Source organism: Homo sapiens, chromosome 12, assembly GCF_000001405.40.
Source record: "Homo sapiens chromosome 12, GRCh38.p14 Primary Assembly".
In the NCBI taxonomy this organism is placed as follows: Eukaryota; Metazoa; Chordata; class Mammalia; order Primates; family Hominidae; genus Homo; species Homo sapiens.
Window position 1 is genome coordinate 45,244,463 of NC_000012.12, and position 21,469 is coordinate 45,265,931.

The 21,469-nt window shown below is 39.8% G+C and overlaps 1 protein-coding gene across 4 annotated transcripts in view, besides 1 other annotated feature; it reads left to right on the top strand.

Moving 5' to 3' along the window:
- ANO6 (anoctamin 6) overlaps nt 1-21,469 on the top strand; it is a 224,310-nt gene that overhangs the window by 28,368 nt on the left and 174,473 nt on the right. The window lies entirely within an intron of this gene.
- Nucleotides 12,798-13,298: an enhancer, noted in NCBI's record as "H3K4me1 hESC enhancer chr12:45651043-45651543 (GRCh37/hg19 assembly coordinates)". NCBI's record gives its function as "activates a minimal SCP1, AML or CMV promoter by ChIP-STARR-seq in primed H9 embryonic stem cells {active_cell/tissue: H9 hESC(primed)}" and the evidence as "EXISTENCE:reporter gene assay evidence [ECO:0000049][PMID:30033119]".

Consider the following 21,469-nt stretch of genomic DNA (forward strand, 5'->3'; position numbering starts at 1 on the left):
ATCCCCTCAACTGTATGGAAAATGTGTTTATTTATGTACTCGCAGGTCTCTGGTGAGAGGAATCTATAGTTTTCATTAGATTCTTAAGGGGTCCTTGATCCAAAAGGGGACTGGATTGTCAGTTCTGTAAAACTGGGATAATTATGGTACAGAACTCATGAGTCAAGATTTGTTAACTGCATGGTGCCGTAGAAATCCTAGCTGACACTGCTGCGTTTTGAAACTGAAAGTCTCAGTTTTCCTGTGCTGTCATCATCAGTTCCCATACTGAGGTTTCGTAAGGTTTGCCTGCTTTAAAATGGGTGCACTACAGTGGCTTCCCTTGGGTACTGGTGGCAAGACAAAAGAAGGAATAGAGAATGTGTGCGTGTTTAAACATTTCTTGACTTTTGACTTCCTATTAGGAATCTTTGGTCATAGCAGGGATGGAGAGCTTACATCGAATGGCCTGAACAATTAATGCGGTGACAAAAAGGTTCAGCGGTATCCCTAGCTTCAAGAGCTAGTATTGCTCTCAGGCACCATGGAAGGGACCCCTTAACTTCAGCTCTCTCCTTGCAGTAGAGTGGCAGTGGTAGTTTCTCAGCTAAGAACTGCCCTCTCCGGCCCCCAGGAAGAAAACGTTCTGATAGCTTCTCTTCCCTAGAAATCTCAGCAAATGGCTCTGATGAAATTATGTATGTGCCAGTTCCTGAAACCACCTTTGTGGACTGAAGTTCCCTAGTATGCTGATCAGCACTGGCTGGTAATGGAGTTCTGTAAGCCACATAAATGAAAATGGGAAATGGGTACATTTCTTTTAAATTTTTGTATTATTTTCTTCTAAAGTATTAAATGTGGGAAATCATCTGACATTTCTGTGTACTAAAATATAATTTTTAGTATTAATAATTGTTAATATAAATATTGGAGGCATAAGACATTTTCTATTTTTCTGTCTTAAAAAACAAAAAACTGATTTTTTTTTTTTTTTTTGTGGGGAGACCCTCAATAGACTCTCTCCTTTCCTTGGGTTAGTAGTGTCCATGGCTCTTTATAGAAAATGTATTTGCTTGCCTGAATCTGCTTTTTCACTGTTTTACAGGCATTTTTTTTTCCATCTATGTCCGGTAGAAAGCAGTAGAAAGGGGTTATTTTCTGATATTAGAATGCCTGAATTAAAATCATTACTTCACTACTTACTGGTTGTACAACCTTAACTGTTAAAGCTTTCTGAGCCTTTGTTTTTCTCATTGTAAAGTTGAACTGCAATAATGCACTTAAAGGGCTTGGTACAGTGTGTGGTGCTAGTAGCTGTTTATAGTAGTTAATGGAAATCTTATGATTTCAAGTAAAATTATTGTAATGTGTAAAATAACTTAATTACAGGCATTCATGAATGGTCCCATGGCTGATTACTATGTCTATAGAATGAATCTGTTAATTGTAATTTTGCGTAGATTCTCTTGGGTAGGATTCCACATGTTAGATTGACATTTTAGTCAAAAAAAAAAAAAAACCCAAGAACATTATTAAGTTGATGGAGATAGCATATGGTACATTAATATTACTAATAAGCATTACTTATGTTACCGAATTAGATTCTGAAAATATCAGGAGAGAAATTAGCTTAAAGCACTGAATTGCCAAGTCTGCCTGAGTGTAAGTACATAGTATGTCTTTAATTGATTTTATTCCTCTGGTGACTTTATTCAGTTTATACCGGGGCTCACTTTTCATAATATTATAATAGGAATGAATAAAAATGAATATATTCATTTACCTTCTATGATAAATAGTTCTGATTAGAATCATTCATAAGCCACAGTTTGGAGCCAATGAGTAAAGACTGAAACTTGGTGAAAGTTTATCTTGCGGTTTTTGGTTTTCTTGCACTTCCCAGTGTAATCCTTTTTGAGTTCTTCAGGATTTTTTTAACCTGGGTCAATAGAGTGCTGGAAGTATTTCTACATTTGAGCATTCAAATTAGAGTAAACATTGCTAACTGCGAGGAAAGAGCAATGGAGCTGAAGTTGCTGGGCTTTGAAAGAGAAAGTTTACCAGCAGCCTGTGATAATATAGGGACACCAGCTGTGGAAGTAGATGTAGAGAGAATTCTGTCAGATTTAGGGAATTCATTCCTGTAACTAACCTAATGGCATAGATTGTCAAACACTTAATGTGGTCCGAATGTAGACTTGTTTCCCTGAAAATGTTTACAAGTAGACAAGGAGTGATCAGTGTCTGATCATTTGGATGTGTCCCTGCTTCCAATGGGGGTAGACCAGATGACTTCACATGGGCTAGTTCCACCCTACTTTTTTTTTTTTTTTTTTTTTTTGAGACAGGGTCTCACTGTGTTACCCAGGTTGGAGCGCAGTGGCGCTGTCTCGGCTCATTGCAACCTCCGCCTCCTGGGTTCAAGCGATTACCATGCCTCAGCCTCCCAAGTAGCTGGGATTACAGTTGTGTGCCACCACGCGCGGCTCATTGTTTTTATTTTTTTTTGAGACAGAGTTTCGCTCTGTCGCCCAGGCTGGAGTGCAGTGGCGTGATCTCGGCTCACTGCACCCTCCGCCTCCTGGGCGATTCTCCTGCCTCACCCTCCCGAGTAGCTGGGACTACAGACGTTCGCCACCACGACTGGCTAATTTTTGTGTTTTTAGTAGAGATGGGGTTTCACCATGTTGGCCAGGCTGGTCTCAAACTCCTGACTTCAAGTGATCTGCCCACCTCAGCCTCCCAAAAGTGCTGGAATTACAGGCGTGAGCCACCATGCCTGGCAGTTCCATCCTACTTTGTAATGAAATTCATCACTTCAGAATTTATTGTCTACTCTGTGCCTGTTAAAAACTAAGAAGGTGCATAAAGACAGCAACATATATTAAGTGCCAGGCATAATTATAAATACGTGTATTGACACATTTAATAGTCATAGTAATGCTATGAGGTAGGTGCTGTTATATTACCCATTTTTGGTTGCTAAGATTAAGGATCAGAAAAGTAATTTGCCTAATGTTATGTAGCAATCAGATGGTTATGGCAGGATTGGAACTTAGGCTGAATCACTGAGGTGGTTCCTGGTCAGTCTACTATCTTAGTCGGCTAGGTCTGCCATAACAATGTACCACAGTCTCTACAGCTTAAACAGAAATTTTCTCATGGTTCTGGAGGCTGGGAGTCTGGGATTAGAGTGCTGCCACTGTGGTCAGTTTATGGTGAGGGCACTCTTCCTGGCTTGCAGATGACCACTGTGTCTCTCTGTTTCCACATGATGGAGAGAGAGACTGTGTGCATGACTGTGTGAACTCCCCTGTCTCTTATGAGGGAACTAATCCCCTTGTGAGGGCCCCACCCTCTTGACCTCATCTAATCCCAATGACCTTCCAAAGGCCCCATCTCTCCATACCATTGTACTGGGGGTTAGAGCTTCAACATATACATTTGGAAGGACACAGTTCAGTTCATAGCATCTAGTTATAGATATAAGCATGAACAGATACAATATGGATAGTATAAATATTTGATTTGCTAATGTATTGGGAAATTATGAATTTTATAATCTATATTGTCTCATTTCTATGAGTTTTGTTTCATTCACTTGAAAATCCTGCTAATATCACCACAGATAAAAGACTGACTTGGATATAACAATGAGTTAATGGAAGGAAAAAGTTTCATAAATAGTACTATAAAGTTAATTTCTTTTCCTGACATGCATGTGTAACAGTAATAGCTTCATTTTGTGTAGCTGTAACACTTTACAGTTAACAAAGCACTTGTGTCTCACTTGATTCTTACAAGAGTCATATAAAACCACCCATTTTATGGATAAGGAAACTGACATGCAGAGTTAGCCTGTACTTCCATTGCCCTGCCCCACTACTCAGTTAAGCTTTCTGCCAAGTAGCACAGCTGAATTTTCTTCTGTGTGCATAAGGACAACAGATGAGGTAGTAAAGAAAATATATTTTATAAAAAGTAGACTTTTTTTTTTTTTTTTTTTGGTGGGGACAGAGTTGCTCTCTGTCGCCCAGGCTGGAGTGGAGTGGCATGATCTCGGTTCATTGCAACCTCCGCTTCCCAGGTTCAAACAGTTCTCCTGCCTCAGCCTCCTGAGTAGCTAGGATTACAGGTGCACGCCACCAAGCCCAGTTAATTTTTGTATTTGTAGTAGAGATGGGGTTTCACCATGCTGGTCAGGCTGGTCTCGTGACCCGCCCGCCTCAGCTTCCCAAAGTGCTGGGATTATAGGTGTGAGCCTCCACGCCTGGCACAAAAAGTAGACTTTTTAGAAAAAACAAAAACAGGAATTTGGAGTCAACTGACCTGAAGGAATATGGAGGCAGAATCATTTTAACAAAGGGTTGTGCTACTAAATAGTAGATGTGGGTCCTCACTTAGTGAGTCTTAGAATTCTCCAATTCAGAGATACCTGGTCTGGGCCCATTTGGCCAGCCTTAGCCAAAAGTAAGACTGCCATTTATTGTACTTTATTTTTTGATGAATCTGCTGTGGAAATGGAAGCTGCTTCCTGAGTCAGGATGGTGTAGTCTGGTGGTGTAGCATGTTACTCAGACTCTCTGGTCCTCAGGTTGTCTTAAAATCATCATAATATGTGTTGGTGGCACCACATAGGACTTTTTCTGAGGATGAAATAACACAAATGTTAAGTTGCTTTGAAAGATCTCATTATCCCAACTGCTGTAATATCCTGGGCCTAGAATGCCATATAAATACAGCAACTTAGTTTGAACTGAAACTGCAGCTTCCATATTAAAGAAACAGAATCACAAAATGCATGACTGAAAAAACTATTATCTAGGAAATAGTATGTTACACAGGAAATTTACCTAATTGTATCATGTTCATGAAATGTTTGCAAATATTTTTAAGGTTGTGATGAGCATTTCATCTTGAGTAATTATTCTGAGGTATTTATTCTTTAGATTTCTGCCTTTTAAAATTTGGTATATTAAATATTCTGAAAGTTTATAAAGGTTTATAAATTCAAAAAATCCTTTTGGTGTAATAGAATTCTTCTGATTCTAGAAGGTGCTGTCATGCATTTGAAAATTAGTGTTTTACTGATAAATAATTCATTGGTAGGGCAAGAGGTTCCCATTTTAAGGCATTTGAGGGATCTCTTATGTTCAGGATAGGAGATGGAGGATACAGGTTTATTAAGTGAAGAGAGAGCCATCAGATAGTAGAGCTGATTTTCAAAAATCTTTAATATTTCATGTAAATTTAGAGAAAAGCTTCTTCTGGATGAAAATGTTAGACACTGAATCCCCAAAAATAATTCAACCATTTATGAGCCTGTGACCTCTAGTTACTTACAGTGCGCTAGCCCTGTGTATGCCAATACCTTGTGTCCTTTTCCTTTTAAAACAACTGCCAGAACTTGTCTTTGAAATTGTCTTTTCTTTATTCATTAACAGTTTAATGAACACAGTATCCAAAAGACTAATGTGCTTAATGAGAATGCTTCTTACTGAGCAGATCATTAATCTTCAATTTCAGGTTCATATGGAGCCTAAAGATCACCTGTTTCCTGTAAACTGTTCACACAAAAGGCTAACCTTGGGAAGCTCAGTGTTGCCTTTTTAATAAGTATGCCAGCTAACTAAAGAAATAAAACCAAGAACTGTGTTACTAGAGATAATAAATGGTCATAGGTTGTCTTAACTAGTTGGAGCAAAACAATGACTGTATAAGTACTAAAAAAGTAACAGCGGCGTTTACCTGAAGATGTTTCACATGAAATGGGAATGAAGAGGTGACATTTCAGACAGGTTTTTGAGGCTAATACTAATGTCTGCATTGCTGAAACAAACTTGGATCAGAAGTTTTATTCCATGCTCTCCAAATAGTAATTCTTTCCCAATTTCATCTAAAGAAAATGTTTAAGATAAAGACAGAAGAAAATATGTCAGAATTATTCTTAACTTTATTATTTATTTATCGAGATGGGGTCTAGCTCTGTCACCCAGGCTGGAGTACAGTGGCACGATTACAGCTCACTGCAGCGTCGAACTCCTGGGCTCAAGCATTCCTCTTGCCTCAGCCTCTTGAGTAGCTAGGAGTATAGGTATATGCCACCATGCCCAGCTAATTAAATTTTTTTGTTGTTGTTGTTGTTGAGGGGTCGTCTTGCTGTGTTGCCTAGGCTGGTCTCAAATTTCTGACCTCAAGTGATCCTCCCACTTCTGCCTCTGAAAGTACTGGGATTGCAGGCATGAGCCACTGTGCCCAGCCTTAACTTTTAAAAATGGAGAAGATACAGTACAGCCTTTATGGACATGCTCTGGTTACTTAAAAAAAAAAAAAAAAAAAAAGAGACAGTGTCTCACTATGTTGTCCAGACTGGTGTCAAACTCCTGGGATCAAGCAATCCTTGGCCTCCTGAGTAGCCGGAACTACAGGCATGTGTCACCACACCTGGCCCTGGTACTTTCTGAGTTCATATAATAACAAAATAGGCTGGGCATGATGGCTCATGCCTATTATCTCAGAACTTTGGGAGGTTGAGGTGGGAGGATCTCTTGAGCCCAGAAGGTCCAGGCCACAGTGAGCCCTGACAGCGCTTCAACCTGGGCAACAGAGTGAGACCCTGTCTCAAAAAAAAAAGGAAAAAAAACCCACAAAAAAACCCAAAATAGTGAAAGTGGAGGTGAGATATGAGGAAACCAAGATGAGCTCTTTGAAAGAACAGAGCTGGGACCCTAGAGACTTGGATTCTAGTTTTAACCCGATTACTAACTAGTGTCCTTGGATATACACTTAACCCATCTGGGTCTTAGTTTCCTTAGAAGCAAACAGTGGGACTAGCAGATCTTCAAAGTCTCTTCCAAATTCTTGATTCTCTGTTACTGCATGGCAAACTATACTAGAGCTTAGCGAATTAAGGCAACAGCCATTTTATTATATTTCATAGTTTTTGCACAGAGATTCAGCCAGGGCTCAGCTGAGTGGTGTTTAGCTGGCAAACAGTCTGATTCAAGATGGCATCAGGCATGTTTCTCTGACCTTGGTGAGGATTTGGAAGGCTGGGTTCAGATGGGGCTGTACATTGGAGTGCCTACTTGTGATCCCTCCATCATGGCAGCCCCTGTAGTGGGACTTACTACAGGGCCCAGAGACTAATGTTCCAGTGAAGAAGACAGAAGATGCATGGTCTTCAAAGACTTAGCCTTCCAAGTCGCAGGTACCTTTCTCATCATGCACCCTTGGAGGAGGCATTCAAAAGGCTGCCTAGATTCAGGGGGAGGGGCCGTAGCCTCCATCATCTAATGAGAGGAGTTTTAAAGGCTATGTTTTAAAGTTGATATAGTCCCATTCACTGTGTGTGGTAGAGTTTGTTCAATTGTGGTAAACTTACTGTTTTAAACTTAGCCTTCTTGAACCCTTGACAAGTTGAAAAGACAGCCTTCTGCCCTCTGAGTGAATACTGATGATCAAAAATAACACCCTATACTCTATTCCTTCTTACCTGTTCATTCTCCGATATAGTATTTGCAAACAGACATTTTACTTGTTCAACTAACACTTCGTGGCCCCTCAATCACTTCTTAGGCTTTATTATTGTTATTTAATATAAAGAATACTGTGATCTTGAAAAGTAGAGTTTGAGAACATCTTCCATGAGTTTTAACATAGAATGAAGGGCACAGGATGTTTTTCAGCCATTTCATTTCCAATAAATAGTTATTTGACATAAAGAAGCTTGTGATAGTGCCAGTTTCACCTGGCAGAACACACCATCACACACACAAAAAAATTTAGCAGTTGGAAAATAGCAATTTATGATTAAACAACCAAACTGCCTGATTTGATGCTTTTGTGTTTCCATAAAGTGAGATACTTTGAAGCTTCTCTCCTGGAGACTTGTATTTATCCTCAGTATAACAGGTGGTGGCGTAAAGGGTTGAAAGAAATTATTTAAGCAAATATTACAGGAAAGTGGCCAGAAAACTCCAAATACAAACATATCTGCATCTCCAAAGAAGCATAATCATTTTTTTAAAAGTCTAGGTGGGTTTTTTTGTTGTTGTTGTTAACTACTGTTTTTATGAGCTGTTTGTAAGAAATGGTGTATCTCCGTTGTTTCTTAGGGTACATGCTAAAATTTGGCTGACAATCAGTGTTCTCATTAAATACTCATTTCACCCCTGTGAAGGAGTTCTGTTACCTGGGGTCTGTAAAGCATTGTATTGTTGGAGCAGAGCACCCTTCTACTGAGCCAAAACAGTTCTCACATTTTTCTAAGGCTCAAAGTTAACAACATGAAGGTATTAGGGAGAACAGCATTTATTTTAATTTTTGTATTTCATTTCTTTACGTTTTGTATATAATGGTTTTGGTCATCAACATATGTTAAGTCAAAATGTAAATATTGGCTCCAAGGGACAAATTATGGTAAGGATATAATCTTATATTAATCTCTTTAAGTCAGCTTTAAAGATTTGTGGAAACCTTCACACAACAGGGAATTGTCATGGTTCCTGACTTACCTGGATGTGGATATCTTTCTTTTGAGACTTCCTTGGGGACAGAAATCATCACTGAATTTTTCTTGCTTACTCTCTGTAGATACTGGTATAACATTGTTTTATTAAAAGCTTACCATGTCTACTTTTTAAACTGTCCCCCCTTGTTCTCCTGAGAAATTTGTTAATAGTGAGACATATATCATGATCATTGCAGGGAGCAGGGAACATTCTGTAATTCAGGCTATTTAATATCATGTTTGTTTAATTGCATAAGTATTACATTGTCACTGGAAGAAAATGAGAATATACAGAGAAAATGACAGCACCTAATAATGTCTGAAGTCTGTGGGAGTCCAGAGCTTGTTTTTCTCATCTCTCTCCAAGCCCCCGCCACTGATCCAGTTGCAGAGAAGAGAAAATAGAATTCAGAATTCTTAAATGTATAAAGTTATTCATTGTTTTAAATAGTTTACAAAAGGCATGTTGATGCCATTAATAACAATGAAATGTGAATTCAGGGTCTATGGAAGAAGTACAGGATTTGAAATTTTTAAATATATCTAAATCTGCACATGACTGTAAATTAGAAGATACATGCAAACATTAAGAACCTGGGTTCAAATGAACAACCTCTTACAACAAGGATTTAAGGCCTCAAAACATGAAAATGTGTAATTGAGTTGTTCCACCGATGTTACATGAATGTGCAGGTTACTTTGAGTCAGTTATTATTTTGGTTGTAGATGATAGCCAGTATCATAGTTCACTATCTGTAAAATGAGGAGTTTAGGCTTAGATTACATCCAAAGTTCTTCCCAGCTTGCTGATGTCATGATTGTGTATTACTAACCCCTATAATGAGGCTAGAAGTGTTTGGTTTACGCTTTAGGTTTGCAAAAGCTCCTCAGAACTCTCCATGTAATAATTCACCATTCATCAGGAAAGTTCGCCACGGAGTGTGGTGGCTCATGCCTGTAATCCCAGCACTTTGGGAGGCCAAGGTGGGCGGATCATGAGGTCAAGAGATCGAGACCATCCTGGCCAACATGGTGAAACCCCGTCTGTATTAAAAATGCAAAAATTAGCTGGGCATGGTGGTGTGCGTCTGTAGTCCCAACTACTCAGGAGGCTGAGGCAGAAGAATCGCTTGAACCCGGGAGGCGGAGGTTGCAGTGAGCCGAGATTGTGCCACTGCACTCCAACCTAGCAACAGAGCAAGACTCCGTCTCAAAAAAAAAGTTCGCCATTCTTACGAATGAGGAAGTTTGTGGATGCTGGATGGCACAGAGAGAAGGCAGTAGAGAAAGATTATGAATTGAGTTGCAGGGCCAGGGGAAGCTTACTCCAGGATTCTGAAGCCCAGCTTTGTGACCCAGTTGTCCATACCTCCTGAAGGTGGGCCAAGGAATAGGGGGAGAGGAGGATGGGGATGTTGTGGATCATCATTGCCTGGGGAGGCAGTATCTGCCAGATCCATGACTTTGGCTCAGTGAAGGTAATTTTTCAGAACAGAAACAAAGTCCTGTTTTCTGTCTCCTAGAAGACAGGACTGCAGAGCACTGGATGGTTTGTTGAAGGCGTCATAGATACTAACAATCACTTGTACTTACAGGACCAACTCTTTGTCACATTTTAAGTTTGTTTGGAAAATCAGTTAAGTACAGTTTAGTTTGGTAATTTGGTTGGATTTTTTAAAATTTGGCTAATCAAATGTTTATCACACTTTGGAGTGAACATAAAATAGTGACAGAAAACTTTTTCATTCGATGGATACTTATGATTAAATGGATTCTGAAAATTTCCCAGAATTACAGATATGTAAGATTATACCTACTTTGTTAACAATGAAGTAGAAATATGAATTATGGCTAAGTTCCATAAACAGACTCAACATACTTGAATGAATAAAAGAGCAGTTTCCTGGTTCTGTTGTTTAATTGTATACTTTTATTTGACTCTCAAAACATGAAAAAAATCACATTTTTAAATAACCCTCATCAAGCTTTGATTCAAAATTTTAACTCATATATTTTATGATTGAGAATAAGCTAGTTTTTAACTTACTTTCCATATATATCTCTTACATTATAAATGCTAAAAGAATTAAGTTACCATAATTTTTGCATGTCTATATTATCAAACTGAACACAGCTTTATTTCTGTTTACTAGAATGTTCTTAATTTTGTAGCATCTTGTTATCTATCATTCATTTATAATCTCCCCTTTTATTATTCTGACATTTGTCAAGTGTTTTACATGTTTGAGGCCCTTAATCTTGGTCACCTTTAAATACTTAGAGATTAGTCATCATTAGCGCATGCTCCCTCTGCCTTGGAATTTTTTTCTTCAATAAAAGCAGGAATGTCATCTTGGCCAACATGGTGAAACCCCGTCTCTACTAAAAATACAACAACAATTAGCTGGCCATGGTGGCGTGCACCTGTAGTCCCAGCTACTCGGGAGGCTGAGGCAGGAGAATTGCTTGAACCCGGGAGGCAGAGGTGGCAGCTGAGATTGTGCCACTGCACTCCAGCCTAGCGACAGGGACTCCATCTCAAAAAAATAAAAAACAGGAATGTTGCTGAAGGAGGTTGTAGTGGACATTACTCCTTGGATATTATTCCTAAAGGAAGCATCGTGGAATCATAGGATTCTTAATTTACTAAGAATCATCCCAAAGCCATTTTTAAACAAAACTTTTTGCTCAATGAGAACTCTGGGAGTTACAACTAGTAGATTGTAATAGAATTAATGCAACAACCGTAGAATACATATTTTAGTGGCAGTGCTTGTTAAGAGGGGAAACTGTGACTCCATGAGCTCCTCCTGGATGGATCATACATCTCCATCTCCATCTGGCCCCAGGTTTTCTCCCTGGGTGTTTTTTTTTTTTTTTTTTTTGAGACTGAATCTCGCCCATTCGCACAGGCCAGAGCGCAGTGGCGGGATCTCGGCTCACTGCAACCTCTGCCTCCTGGGTTCAAGCAATTCTGCCTGAGCCTCCCTCCCGAGTAGCTGGGATTACAGGCATGCACCACTACCCCCACCTAATTTTTGTATTTTTTAGTAGAGACAGGGGTTTTGCCATGGTGGCCAGGCTGGTCTCAAACTCCTGACCTCAGGTGATCCGCCTGTCTCGGCCTCCCAAGGTGCTGGGATTACAGGCATGATCCACTGCATCCAGCCTCTCCCTATGATCTTGAAGTGACTGCATCTCTTTTTATGATCAGGATGCTATAACATTGAACATGCCCATGTGTATACACAACACATGGGTAGACACTGTTGGCAGAGATGACCAAATATGAAGAATTCACAGTATTTTTTGTTCCTGGCCTCATCAAACACTGCCACAGTAATCATTTAAGATTCTGGTGCTTTCCTGGTGTTCTAAACCACATTTACGTATGGCAGTGCAGGTAATTTATTTTCATATCCGTCTGTTTGTCATTGCATTGGTACCTTGGAAAGGTTAGTGTTTTCCATTTATTTGATTGTTACTACTGTTAATCATTACAAAATCTTATTATTGCTGCTCATATATAGATCAGGACAAGCAAATTTGATTTCTAGCTTTCTAATGTGGTAAAAAAAATCATAGAGGAAACTTCATATGCAAATTTAAGTAACTGACAGAGAATATATATGGACACAAACTCTTGCTATTATAATCATATTGTGACCTCAGCCACCCTTTGTATAGCCCAAGTAATGACTGTTTGATATTTATTATAAAGCATATTAAATTCCTTGATTAACTGAACCTTTCATTCCTCTTTTTTGTTTCATGCAGCAGTGAAAATAGATTGTTCTATTATCATCCTTGCCAGGAAATTTATAAAATGTATAAAATTATTCATAAATGTATTTTAAACTGAAGATATATTAATGTATTATTGGGTGTACTGAGCAGAAAACATTTCTTTTCACATTTGAATGGCAGGCACATGATTATACATTCACTTCCTACTGAATATTAATCATCAATTCCATGTGGCTGGTGGATAAAGCTCTGAGAGGCAGCCAGGAGATGCAAATTCTTGCCCTCATCATGGACTTTTAATGTGATTTTGTTTAATGTTTAAAATCAACTGAGAGACCTTTGAATTAAAAAAAAAAATCATTCTTTCCAAGAAGTCTAGGGGCAGTATGGGCTCAGGATTGGGTTATTATAACTTCTATTGCTCTCTTGGCGTGCCTGCTTCGTCTGTTCAACTTGAAACACTGTTTTAATTCAAGCTCTAACCTTGGTTGGCTTCTGTTCTCACATTTCTTGCATGTTTTCTGAGGGCAGTCTCATTCACACTTGCAGTTTCAGATCTGTTCCTAGAGCTTCAGAGCCCCATCCAGGCCATCTCCACCAGGGTGCACCCCTCTGCCCAGCCTAATCTCCTTGCTCATTGTTAACCCCAGTCTGCCCGTCCTGGGGCCACCCCAGTCTGATGTGCCACAGACTCTTCAGCACTCAGCATAGAGTAGGCACTTGGAATGATTTCGGTGATTTAGTTCACAGTTGAACTTGTTATTTCCTCCCCCACACCACAAGTTGCATCCCTTCTGTGTGCTCTCTGTGAATGGCATCCCCATTTCACCCACTCTCCCTGACTTCCCCTTTTTCCTCTACCACTCTGCTTCGTCTTTTTGCTCGATGTCCTTTAAATTCTGCCTTCCATGTTTCCTGAGGCAGTTCCCTGCCCTCCCCACCACACATCACTGCCTTGGTTCTAGGCTCTTGTGTCTCACCTGGACTGTGGCCATCTCTCTTAGTTTGTGTTTCAGCCTTCCAATCTCGTCTCCTCAAATCTGTCTTCCTTCATACTGTTGCCAAATTTATCTGTCCAAAGCATATATCTGAACATGCCACCCTCCTAAACTTACAAGTCTTCAATGAAGAAAACTGCAAACTTTGCGAAGATTATAAAAAGATTGAAATGAAAGCCAGGAGTTTTATGTGCTCTCTATATGGGAAAACAATATAGTAATGGGTTTGGTTTTTTTTCCAGGTTTATTTTTAGGTTTATCACAATGCTTATCAAATTCCCAAAGCGATTTTTCTGAGAAAATTGGAAAAAGTAATTCACTTATAAATTAAACACATGAGAATAAAGAAAAAAAATGAAGTATTTGAAGAAAACTTGGTTTGGAATCTCTCAGCTCTGCTATTAAATACATATTAATCAGTCGTGTGGTGTTGGACACCCTTCCCCCAACTTTGTCCTCCTAAAAATGAATTACAATGAATAATTGTGAATTACTAAGAATTATTTTGAGGATAATGCATGTAGTGTATTCAGTATAGTGCCTGATGCTAGTAAATACTTAATTTTAGCAAAATCAAAGTAGAATACAAACCACAGTTACATACACATGCATACTTATTAACATAACACATAAGGATGAGAGAATAGTAATAATGTTGCCTCTATATGATGGAGTTGTGAGTTTGTCGTCTTCTTGCCTTTTCTCCATTTTTTTACAATAATCATGTTACTTTTCTAAGTAGAAAAGGGAGAAAAAATCTTTCAGTGATTTTCACCTCTGGGATATGTCCACGTTCCCTACCTCATTTGGTGCCCTCTATCCTCATACTCCTCTTTACTTCTCTCTCCTCACCTCTTACATGTGCCTTCTGCCTCCCTATTTAGTCACCACGAATCCTGAATTACTGCCTTCCCTGTACACTGTGATTCTGCTGCATGCCTTGCTGTCCCCCTGCCAATAATGTCCCCACCTCCACACACCAATTTTGTCTAGTTTATTGCCACTCCTCCCCTAAGATTTTGCTTAAAAATCACTCATCAGGTTTGAGCATTAGGACACTTGTATTAAAATTAACTGATTGTGTGTTTGTTTCCCCCAAAGGAATGTTTTCCTCCAGAATAGAGACTGTAAACTACGAGCTGGAAATAAAAGATTGTTAAGTTATAGTCCATGCCCTCAGGTTGCCGACAGTCTGATAGAGAAAGGGATGTGACTGCATGAAAGTAATAAATATTGTAGGATCTCTGATTCAAGTATCTTCAGAAAATGGTGGGACAGGAAGAGGGGAGTAATTTGCCCTTCTTGGGGAAGGGGTGGATTAGGGTGATGGGTTCATAAAGTTTCCATTATTTTCATTTAAGAGGTGATGCTTGAACTGCAGAATAGATGTTTCCTGGGCAGAGAACATGGGGACAAGTGTTACAGGCAGAAGCTTTACATGGAACAAAGGCAGGATGTTGGAGGACAGTCCAGCATTCAGAATGGTGAAGCATTAAGTTTGAGGTGGTGTCCCCATGGTGCTTGGCACATAGTACAAGCTCAAGGATTTTGAACTAAACAGTATGCTTTTTCCTGGTTTCTGTGTATAGGGTTTAGGGGTTTGTGTATCCCTAGAAGTTGTATGTAATATTTTGCATTTATGTGCTTTTGAAAATTTTTCAGGGGAGCGAGTCATTGGATTTCACTAGATTCTCTCAGAGGATTTCATGAACTATAAAAGGTTAAGAACCACGATTTTAACAGTACACCCTAGAAATGGATAAGGTGAGATGTAGAGGATAGAAACTGATGTGAAGACAAATACCTCCAGCTGCAATTGGCAGGGATGCCCCTGGGCATTCACAGGGCAGGTACTCACCTGCTGGAGCCACGGAGGGCCTGGTTGCAGTGGGTACTTCTGATAATGGCTCTGCACACGCTTTTCCACCTCCTTTCAGCAAACAGGCTTATTCCTGCCTCTTTATTTGCTCCAACTAAGCCATTATAGTATGCCTTCTCTGATAGTCAAAGCAACTCTCCAGGGCAGGAAACATGATGGGGTTGAAAGACTGGAGAGAGAATGGAAACACCATATGTTCTATTCTGAAAATAAAGTAAGAGATAAATATGTGAGGAGAACAGGAAAGCATGTACAGCAACCAAAGCAATTCAGTGGCAATGGCATTAAATAGACTGCGTTAAAAGGCTGCAACAGCACTAGCCTCCCACAGGCACTGTAGGTCAGCTCATTCATTCCTCCATGGCGAGTAAAGAGATGTGGGAATTATCCAACTCCTCGAATCCTGCCCAGGCAGATTCAGTGTCCTTCTTTGCCCTCTGTGCAGCTGTAATAACCTTGTATATACTTTTGTTCTAGAACATACTGCACTGTGGCAGAATTGTTGATAATTCTTTTCTTCCATAAGGAAAAAATGGCTGATTTTTGAAAGCCGAGCACTTAGCGCTGGGCTCAGTACATGTTTACTGAAAGAAAAAGGTTGAGTTTTATAGCCCAAAGGTAGTGAAGTCAGTTTGTACAGTTCAGCCTGTACAAAGGTAACCTTAAACAGCTGAAGATTTCCATTATCCTTGCTTTGTCAGCTTCTTTCCTCCTTTGCCCAGTGAGGCACTCAAGTAAGAGCTAATCAAGGAAGGAAGCAGGCAGATCTTTTGCAAAGATAGGGGCTGCTCTTTTGAAGGGAGGGATTTGGTGCAGTGTTGAATCTGATGCAATCTCAGACTCGATCAGCTTGCTAAACAATGTTGGCAATTGCAAGGCAAAGCAAAGGACAAAGGTTATGGGAGCAAATAGGAGGGCACTGTGGGTCACACTTGGATTTGTTTCAGGGGCACTGCACACCCTCATCAGTCAGAATCAAGTAACCTCCCAAAGCATAATAATGTGTTGCATTTTTCAGAGCTCTCTGGGATGCATGAATTAGGTGCTAGTCTTATGCTATCACAAGTCCTGCTCAGAGGGATTCAGAGGCCATCCAGTTAACAGAATGTAGGGAGAGCTTGAAGAGAGGATTGAGAGGAACCACTGATACGTTTAAAGGAATGAAAGATTTTATCATTTGTATTGAGTTTTTAGTTTTATTTTTATTTTTATTTATTTTTTTTTAAGAGACGGGGTTTCTTGCTCTGTCACCCAGGCTGGAGTGCAGTGGCGCCATCTTGGCTCACCACAGCCTCAAACTGTTGGGCTCAAGCAATCCTCTTGCTTCTGCTTCTTGAGTAACGAGGACTGCAAGCATGTGCCACCGCAACCGGCTGTTTTTTTTGTTTGTTTGTTTGTTTTGTTTTGTTTTGTTTTTTTGGTAGAGATATGGGGGTCTTGCTGTGTTGCCCAGGCTGGTCTTGAAATCCTGGCCTTAAGTGATCCCCCAGCCTTGGCCTCCCCAAATGTTACGTTTACAGGCATGAGCCACCATGCCAGGTGTGAATGAAAGGTTTGAAGAGAAACCTAAGGGTGATATCAGGATTCCAGGCATGTGAAGGACACAGAGAATATTTTCCAGTTATTGAGGAACAAAGAATAGGAAAATTGGTTTGCATTTTATGAGGGCTTCTGAGGAGTGAAACTCGAAAAGGATTCAGAACATCTTCCCATTCTCCTATGATGTTAACTGTATTAGTTCTAGGTAGAGGGCCGTTTTTAGTATTTCACTTGCTATCCTGGATTGGACACTTGATCTAAAGAGGGGAAAGGAAGGAAATTAATGATATTGATTGGACAACTGCTGTTAGCACGCTCAGGGTTTCCTCCAGCTCTGATTTGCAAATATCATCTTGTTTACCCAAGAGGGAAGCATTTTTATCCCCATTTATTTGTGGGACAACTGAGGCCAGGAACACTCACAGTTGTATGCATGATAAGTGGCAGTCCTGGCTCTGTTACTTCAGTCCTGAGTTTGTGTAACTCCAAAGGACTTGCTTCTAATTTATTTGTAAATGTATCAAGTTTAGTGTTTATTGAGGCCATTTGGATGTCTCAGTCTCTTTGAGGTGTTGCAGACTGGCTCATCACAGGTTCTGAAAGTCTTTCACCTCTGAGAACAACTGTGCATTTGATCCAGTTGGTCACTTGTGTGTCTAAAACAACCATCAGTTGCTGCTTCTCAGCCTGAGCAAAGCATACTTACGGTGCATCACATCTGAAAGGCATACTTTCTGGCAGAGCAAAAGCTAAATAATACATTTCAATTTTAAAAGGTACCGTTTTCACTTAAATGGCATGTTTTATGGACTATACAGTGAAGGCAAGCACAAATGATATGCAGTATACAAGTATAATACATCAAGGATCATAGCAAGGTAAATGATTTTGATCCACGTTTAACCTGCTGATAAGGAAACCTTTCTATCCATGCTGCTTGATGTCTTTTTCCAATTATACATATTATATGTGAGCCATTGTAGAAATTTTGGGAAATACAGAAAACTGCAAATAAAACAAAAATCACCCCAACACTACCCCTCAAAGATAAACCACCATGAATATTTTAGTATGCTGCTTTCCCGCCTTTTAAAAAAATGCAAATGTAGTTTTATATGGTTTAGACCTATGGTATCCTGCCTTTTCACTTAACTTGCCTCATAAGCACTCTCTGTTTATCTCTTTTATTGGGTTAAAGTATACATAACATAAAATTAACCATTTTAACCATTTTTAAGTGTACAATTCAGTGGCATTAAGTATATTCAGTGTTGTGCAATCACCACCACTATCCATTTCCAGAGCTTTTTTTTTTTTCTTTTTTGAGACGGAGTTTCGCTCTTGTTGCCCAGGCTGGAGTGCAATGGCGCGATCTCTGGCTCACCGCAATCTCCGCCTCCTGGCTTCAAGCAATTCTCTTGCCTCAGCCTCCCGAGCAGCTGGGATTACAGGTGTGTGCCACCACACCTGGCTAATTTTGTATTTTTAGTAGAGACAGGGTTTCTCCATGTTGGTCAGGGTGGTCTCAAACTCCCAACCTCAGGTGATCTGCCCGGCTCGGCCTCCCAGAGTGCTGGGATTACAGGCGTGAGCCACTGCGCCCGGCTTTCCAGAGCTTTTCATCATCAGCACTCCCTATATTTAAGAAGGCTTCACAAACCACATTTAATGGCTGAATAACATTCCATCACATAAAATTTACTTAAAGGTGTTTTCCAGAAGACATTCAACAGATATTTAGTTTGTGCTTATTATAAACTATACTTTGTGGCGAAAGTAGTGAACAAAACATGGCTTTTGTCCTTCAGGACCTGTTGGAGGAAATGGCCAATTAGTAGGCAGGTTGAGTCCTGTAGAGGGGCAAGTACATGGTCTATGGGATCATGTAGGAGGGGAACTTAACTTGAGGTATAATTTGCATAATCATTCCTTGATTGTTGCAGATCTAGCATGCATCAGATTTTTTTGCTGTTATAAATAATATTGAGAGAGATTTGTAGGTATAAATATTTGTCTATATTTCACATTATTTTGTGAAGTTCTTGAGAAGTGAAATTACTGGGGCACGCATTCTAACAGGGGCCGGTACAAGATGTTCTATTTTTTATCTTGAGAGACAGAGTCTTTCTCTGTCACCCAGGCTGGAGTACAGTGGTGCGATCACTGCAACTTTGAATTCCTGGGCTCAAGTGATTCTCTCACCTCAGCCTCCTGAATAGCTGGGACTACAACCATCATGCCTGGCCTGGCCTTTTTTTTTTTTTTTTTTTTTTCCTGGAGAGATGGGATCTCATTTTGTTGCCTGGGTTGGTCTTAAACTCCTGGCCTCAAGCATTCTTCTCACCTTGGCCTTCTAAAATGCTGGGATCACAGTCGTGAGCTGCCCTGCCTGTCCTAAAATGTCCTTTTAGGACACTAATAATTGTTACCTACTGTGCTATTCTCAAGGTTAGGAGCTGCACCAAGGATTTCCATTGCCTGTTTCACCTTAAACCTCTCCTAACTTTTTATAGATGTGTGTACAACTTGCCTCTGGCAGGATTACATGAAGAATGGGGGCTGAGAAGTGAGTGTATCCAACTGGGAAGAGCCAAGGAGGGTCAGAGGCAAAGGGATTGTGGCTGAGGCTGAGGTTATGTGGCAGGTAACATGCACACCATCCAGGTGTTTGTACTCATTTCAGAGGCCTTGGTTTGACAAATGCTTTAGGGCTGTGTTCACTGTGCGTGCTGACAGCTTGGCTCCCTTCTGTGAAATTTCATTCTTGTGAACTTCAAGTCACTGAAATAAAAGTAGCCTATTTTTTCCCCTTTAAACGTATCTGTTCATCGTCTAAACAAACTCCCAGTCTGTTATCAGAGCTGGAGGAGACCTTTGGATATCATATCATCTTCCCTGTTCAAACTAAACCTAAAGATTCTAAGACTTAGAAAAGTTAAGGAACATTCGGAAGGAAACCGAGGAAACCAGCTTGGTGGGTGTAATGAGGGGTTATAGCTCATATCTCTTGATTTAGCTGCTGGTCACCCCATTACCTGCTGCATGTTGTCTTCAGGCTTTATTCTCTCCTTAAAGGAATTTTTTCTTCTTCCCACATCTTGATTCCTGATTTTGTGCTCTGCTCTTTCCTTCTAAGATGTGTTATTCGAGTGTTGAATACATGTATGTCTTGGCTAATGCCTGTGAACTGGAAATTATGCTGATAAGTTTGCATTCCTTATCCTACTCTGTCCTTGGCCTACTAATTGGTTTGACAGTTGATTGTTCTCTTCATCTTGGCCTCTTTGTTTCTTGGAAAGTTTCTGTTGACTCTGGTAAAAGTAATCAGTTATGTCTTATTTAGTCCCTTTGGATAATTTTTTGGGGGGTTGGCTTTTATTAATTTTAAGAAGTAATACACCCACCATTGATATAGTAAGTGTGGCAACCTGTCATGGACCAAAGAGTAAAGTTTTAAAATAGATGATTAATATTGAGAGTAGGAATAGCACAGACATCTGAAACATTAATTTTACCAATGGTTAGTTGGTGAAACCTGACTGTGGATACATACATATTTATGTAAATACAAAAAATTTTTTGTGGTACAGTAAATCTTGCTTCTAAGATCAAATATACAAAAAAAGTTAGCATTGTTTTGTATTAGACAAAGTGCTATTATCTTCAGTTGAACTTCATATCTGTATCATGACACTAAATATAAGACCTTGGGTCCCTGATAATAAGAATTAGAGAAAGGAACGTACAAAGCCAACACACCAAATTTGGTCTGAGGCTGTGAGCTCCAATATCAAGTGGTAATTGTGCAGTTGGAAAAATCCTGTAGCTTATATTCTCAACAATTTCTGATCATCAGAGTTTCAGAAACAATTCAGAGTTATCAGGCTCTGTCATTTATGAGTGAAAGGAGCAATTCCTCATTGACTGTAAGTCTTTTATGTTGGCAATTCCATTCTTAAATTAAGGCATTGGCATTTTCATTATGAAAATGGTTTTCCTGGATTTATAGCTGAGTCCATTAATTTTGTGTTTCAAAACTGATTGGCATTAATCTGTATAGTGACTTTTATATAAAAGCAACGTAAAGTTGATTTTGTAGTCTCGATTTTAAAGATCATTTCAGACATCTCTTCCTCCCGTGTTGGATCTACTGTATTGAAATACGAAGTTATGGAGAACTAAGGAATAAATATAGCACACTCCATTTCCAAAAAGACAGATGGCCTTACCATTCTGTGTAAGGGACTTGAGGAGACCCTGAAGTGACCTATATACCCTGGCTCCACACCTCACATTTGTTCTTGCTCATTTTCTTCTATATCTTGCAGTGTGGAATGATAATAATAAATGATAATGATAGCAGTTATGTCTTGAGTGCTTACTGTCAGACCTCGTGTTATGTACCTTACCATCCTTATTCCATTTAATATTCACAGCAGCCCTATGAACAGAGGTAGTATGATGCCTATTTTACAGATTAGGAAGCTGAGACTTTACCCAGCTGATCATCCAGTTAACCTTCCCGATTCTTGTCATTTCTCTACCACCTCCAGTCCATTCTGCACATCACTGCTGGCCCCATCATGTGCTTTTCTCCTTCAGAAACACCTTCGTAGACTCTATACTGTGTAGGGATAAAGCGCAAACCTCAGTGTACCTGCAGGTTGGCTCCAACTTTTTAAATCTTATGTCCTGCAACTTCCTTACAAAAATCCTGCAGTATAGACCTACCCTAACATGAGCATGCTGTGTGTTCACCTGTTTCCCTGCCCCAGCTGGCAGATGCCTACTATTTGCCAGGCACTGTTAGGATCT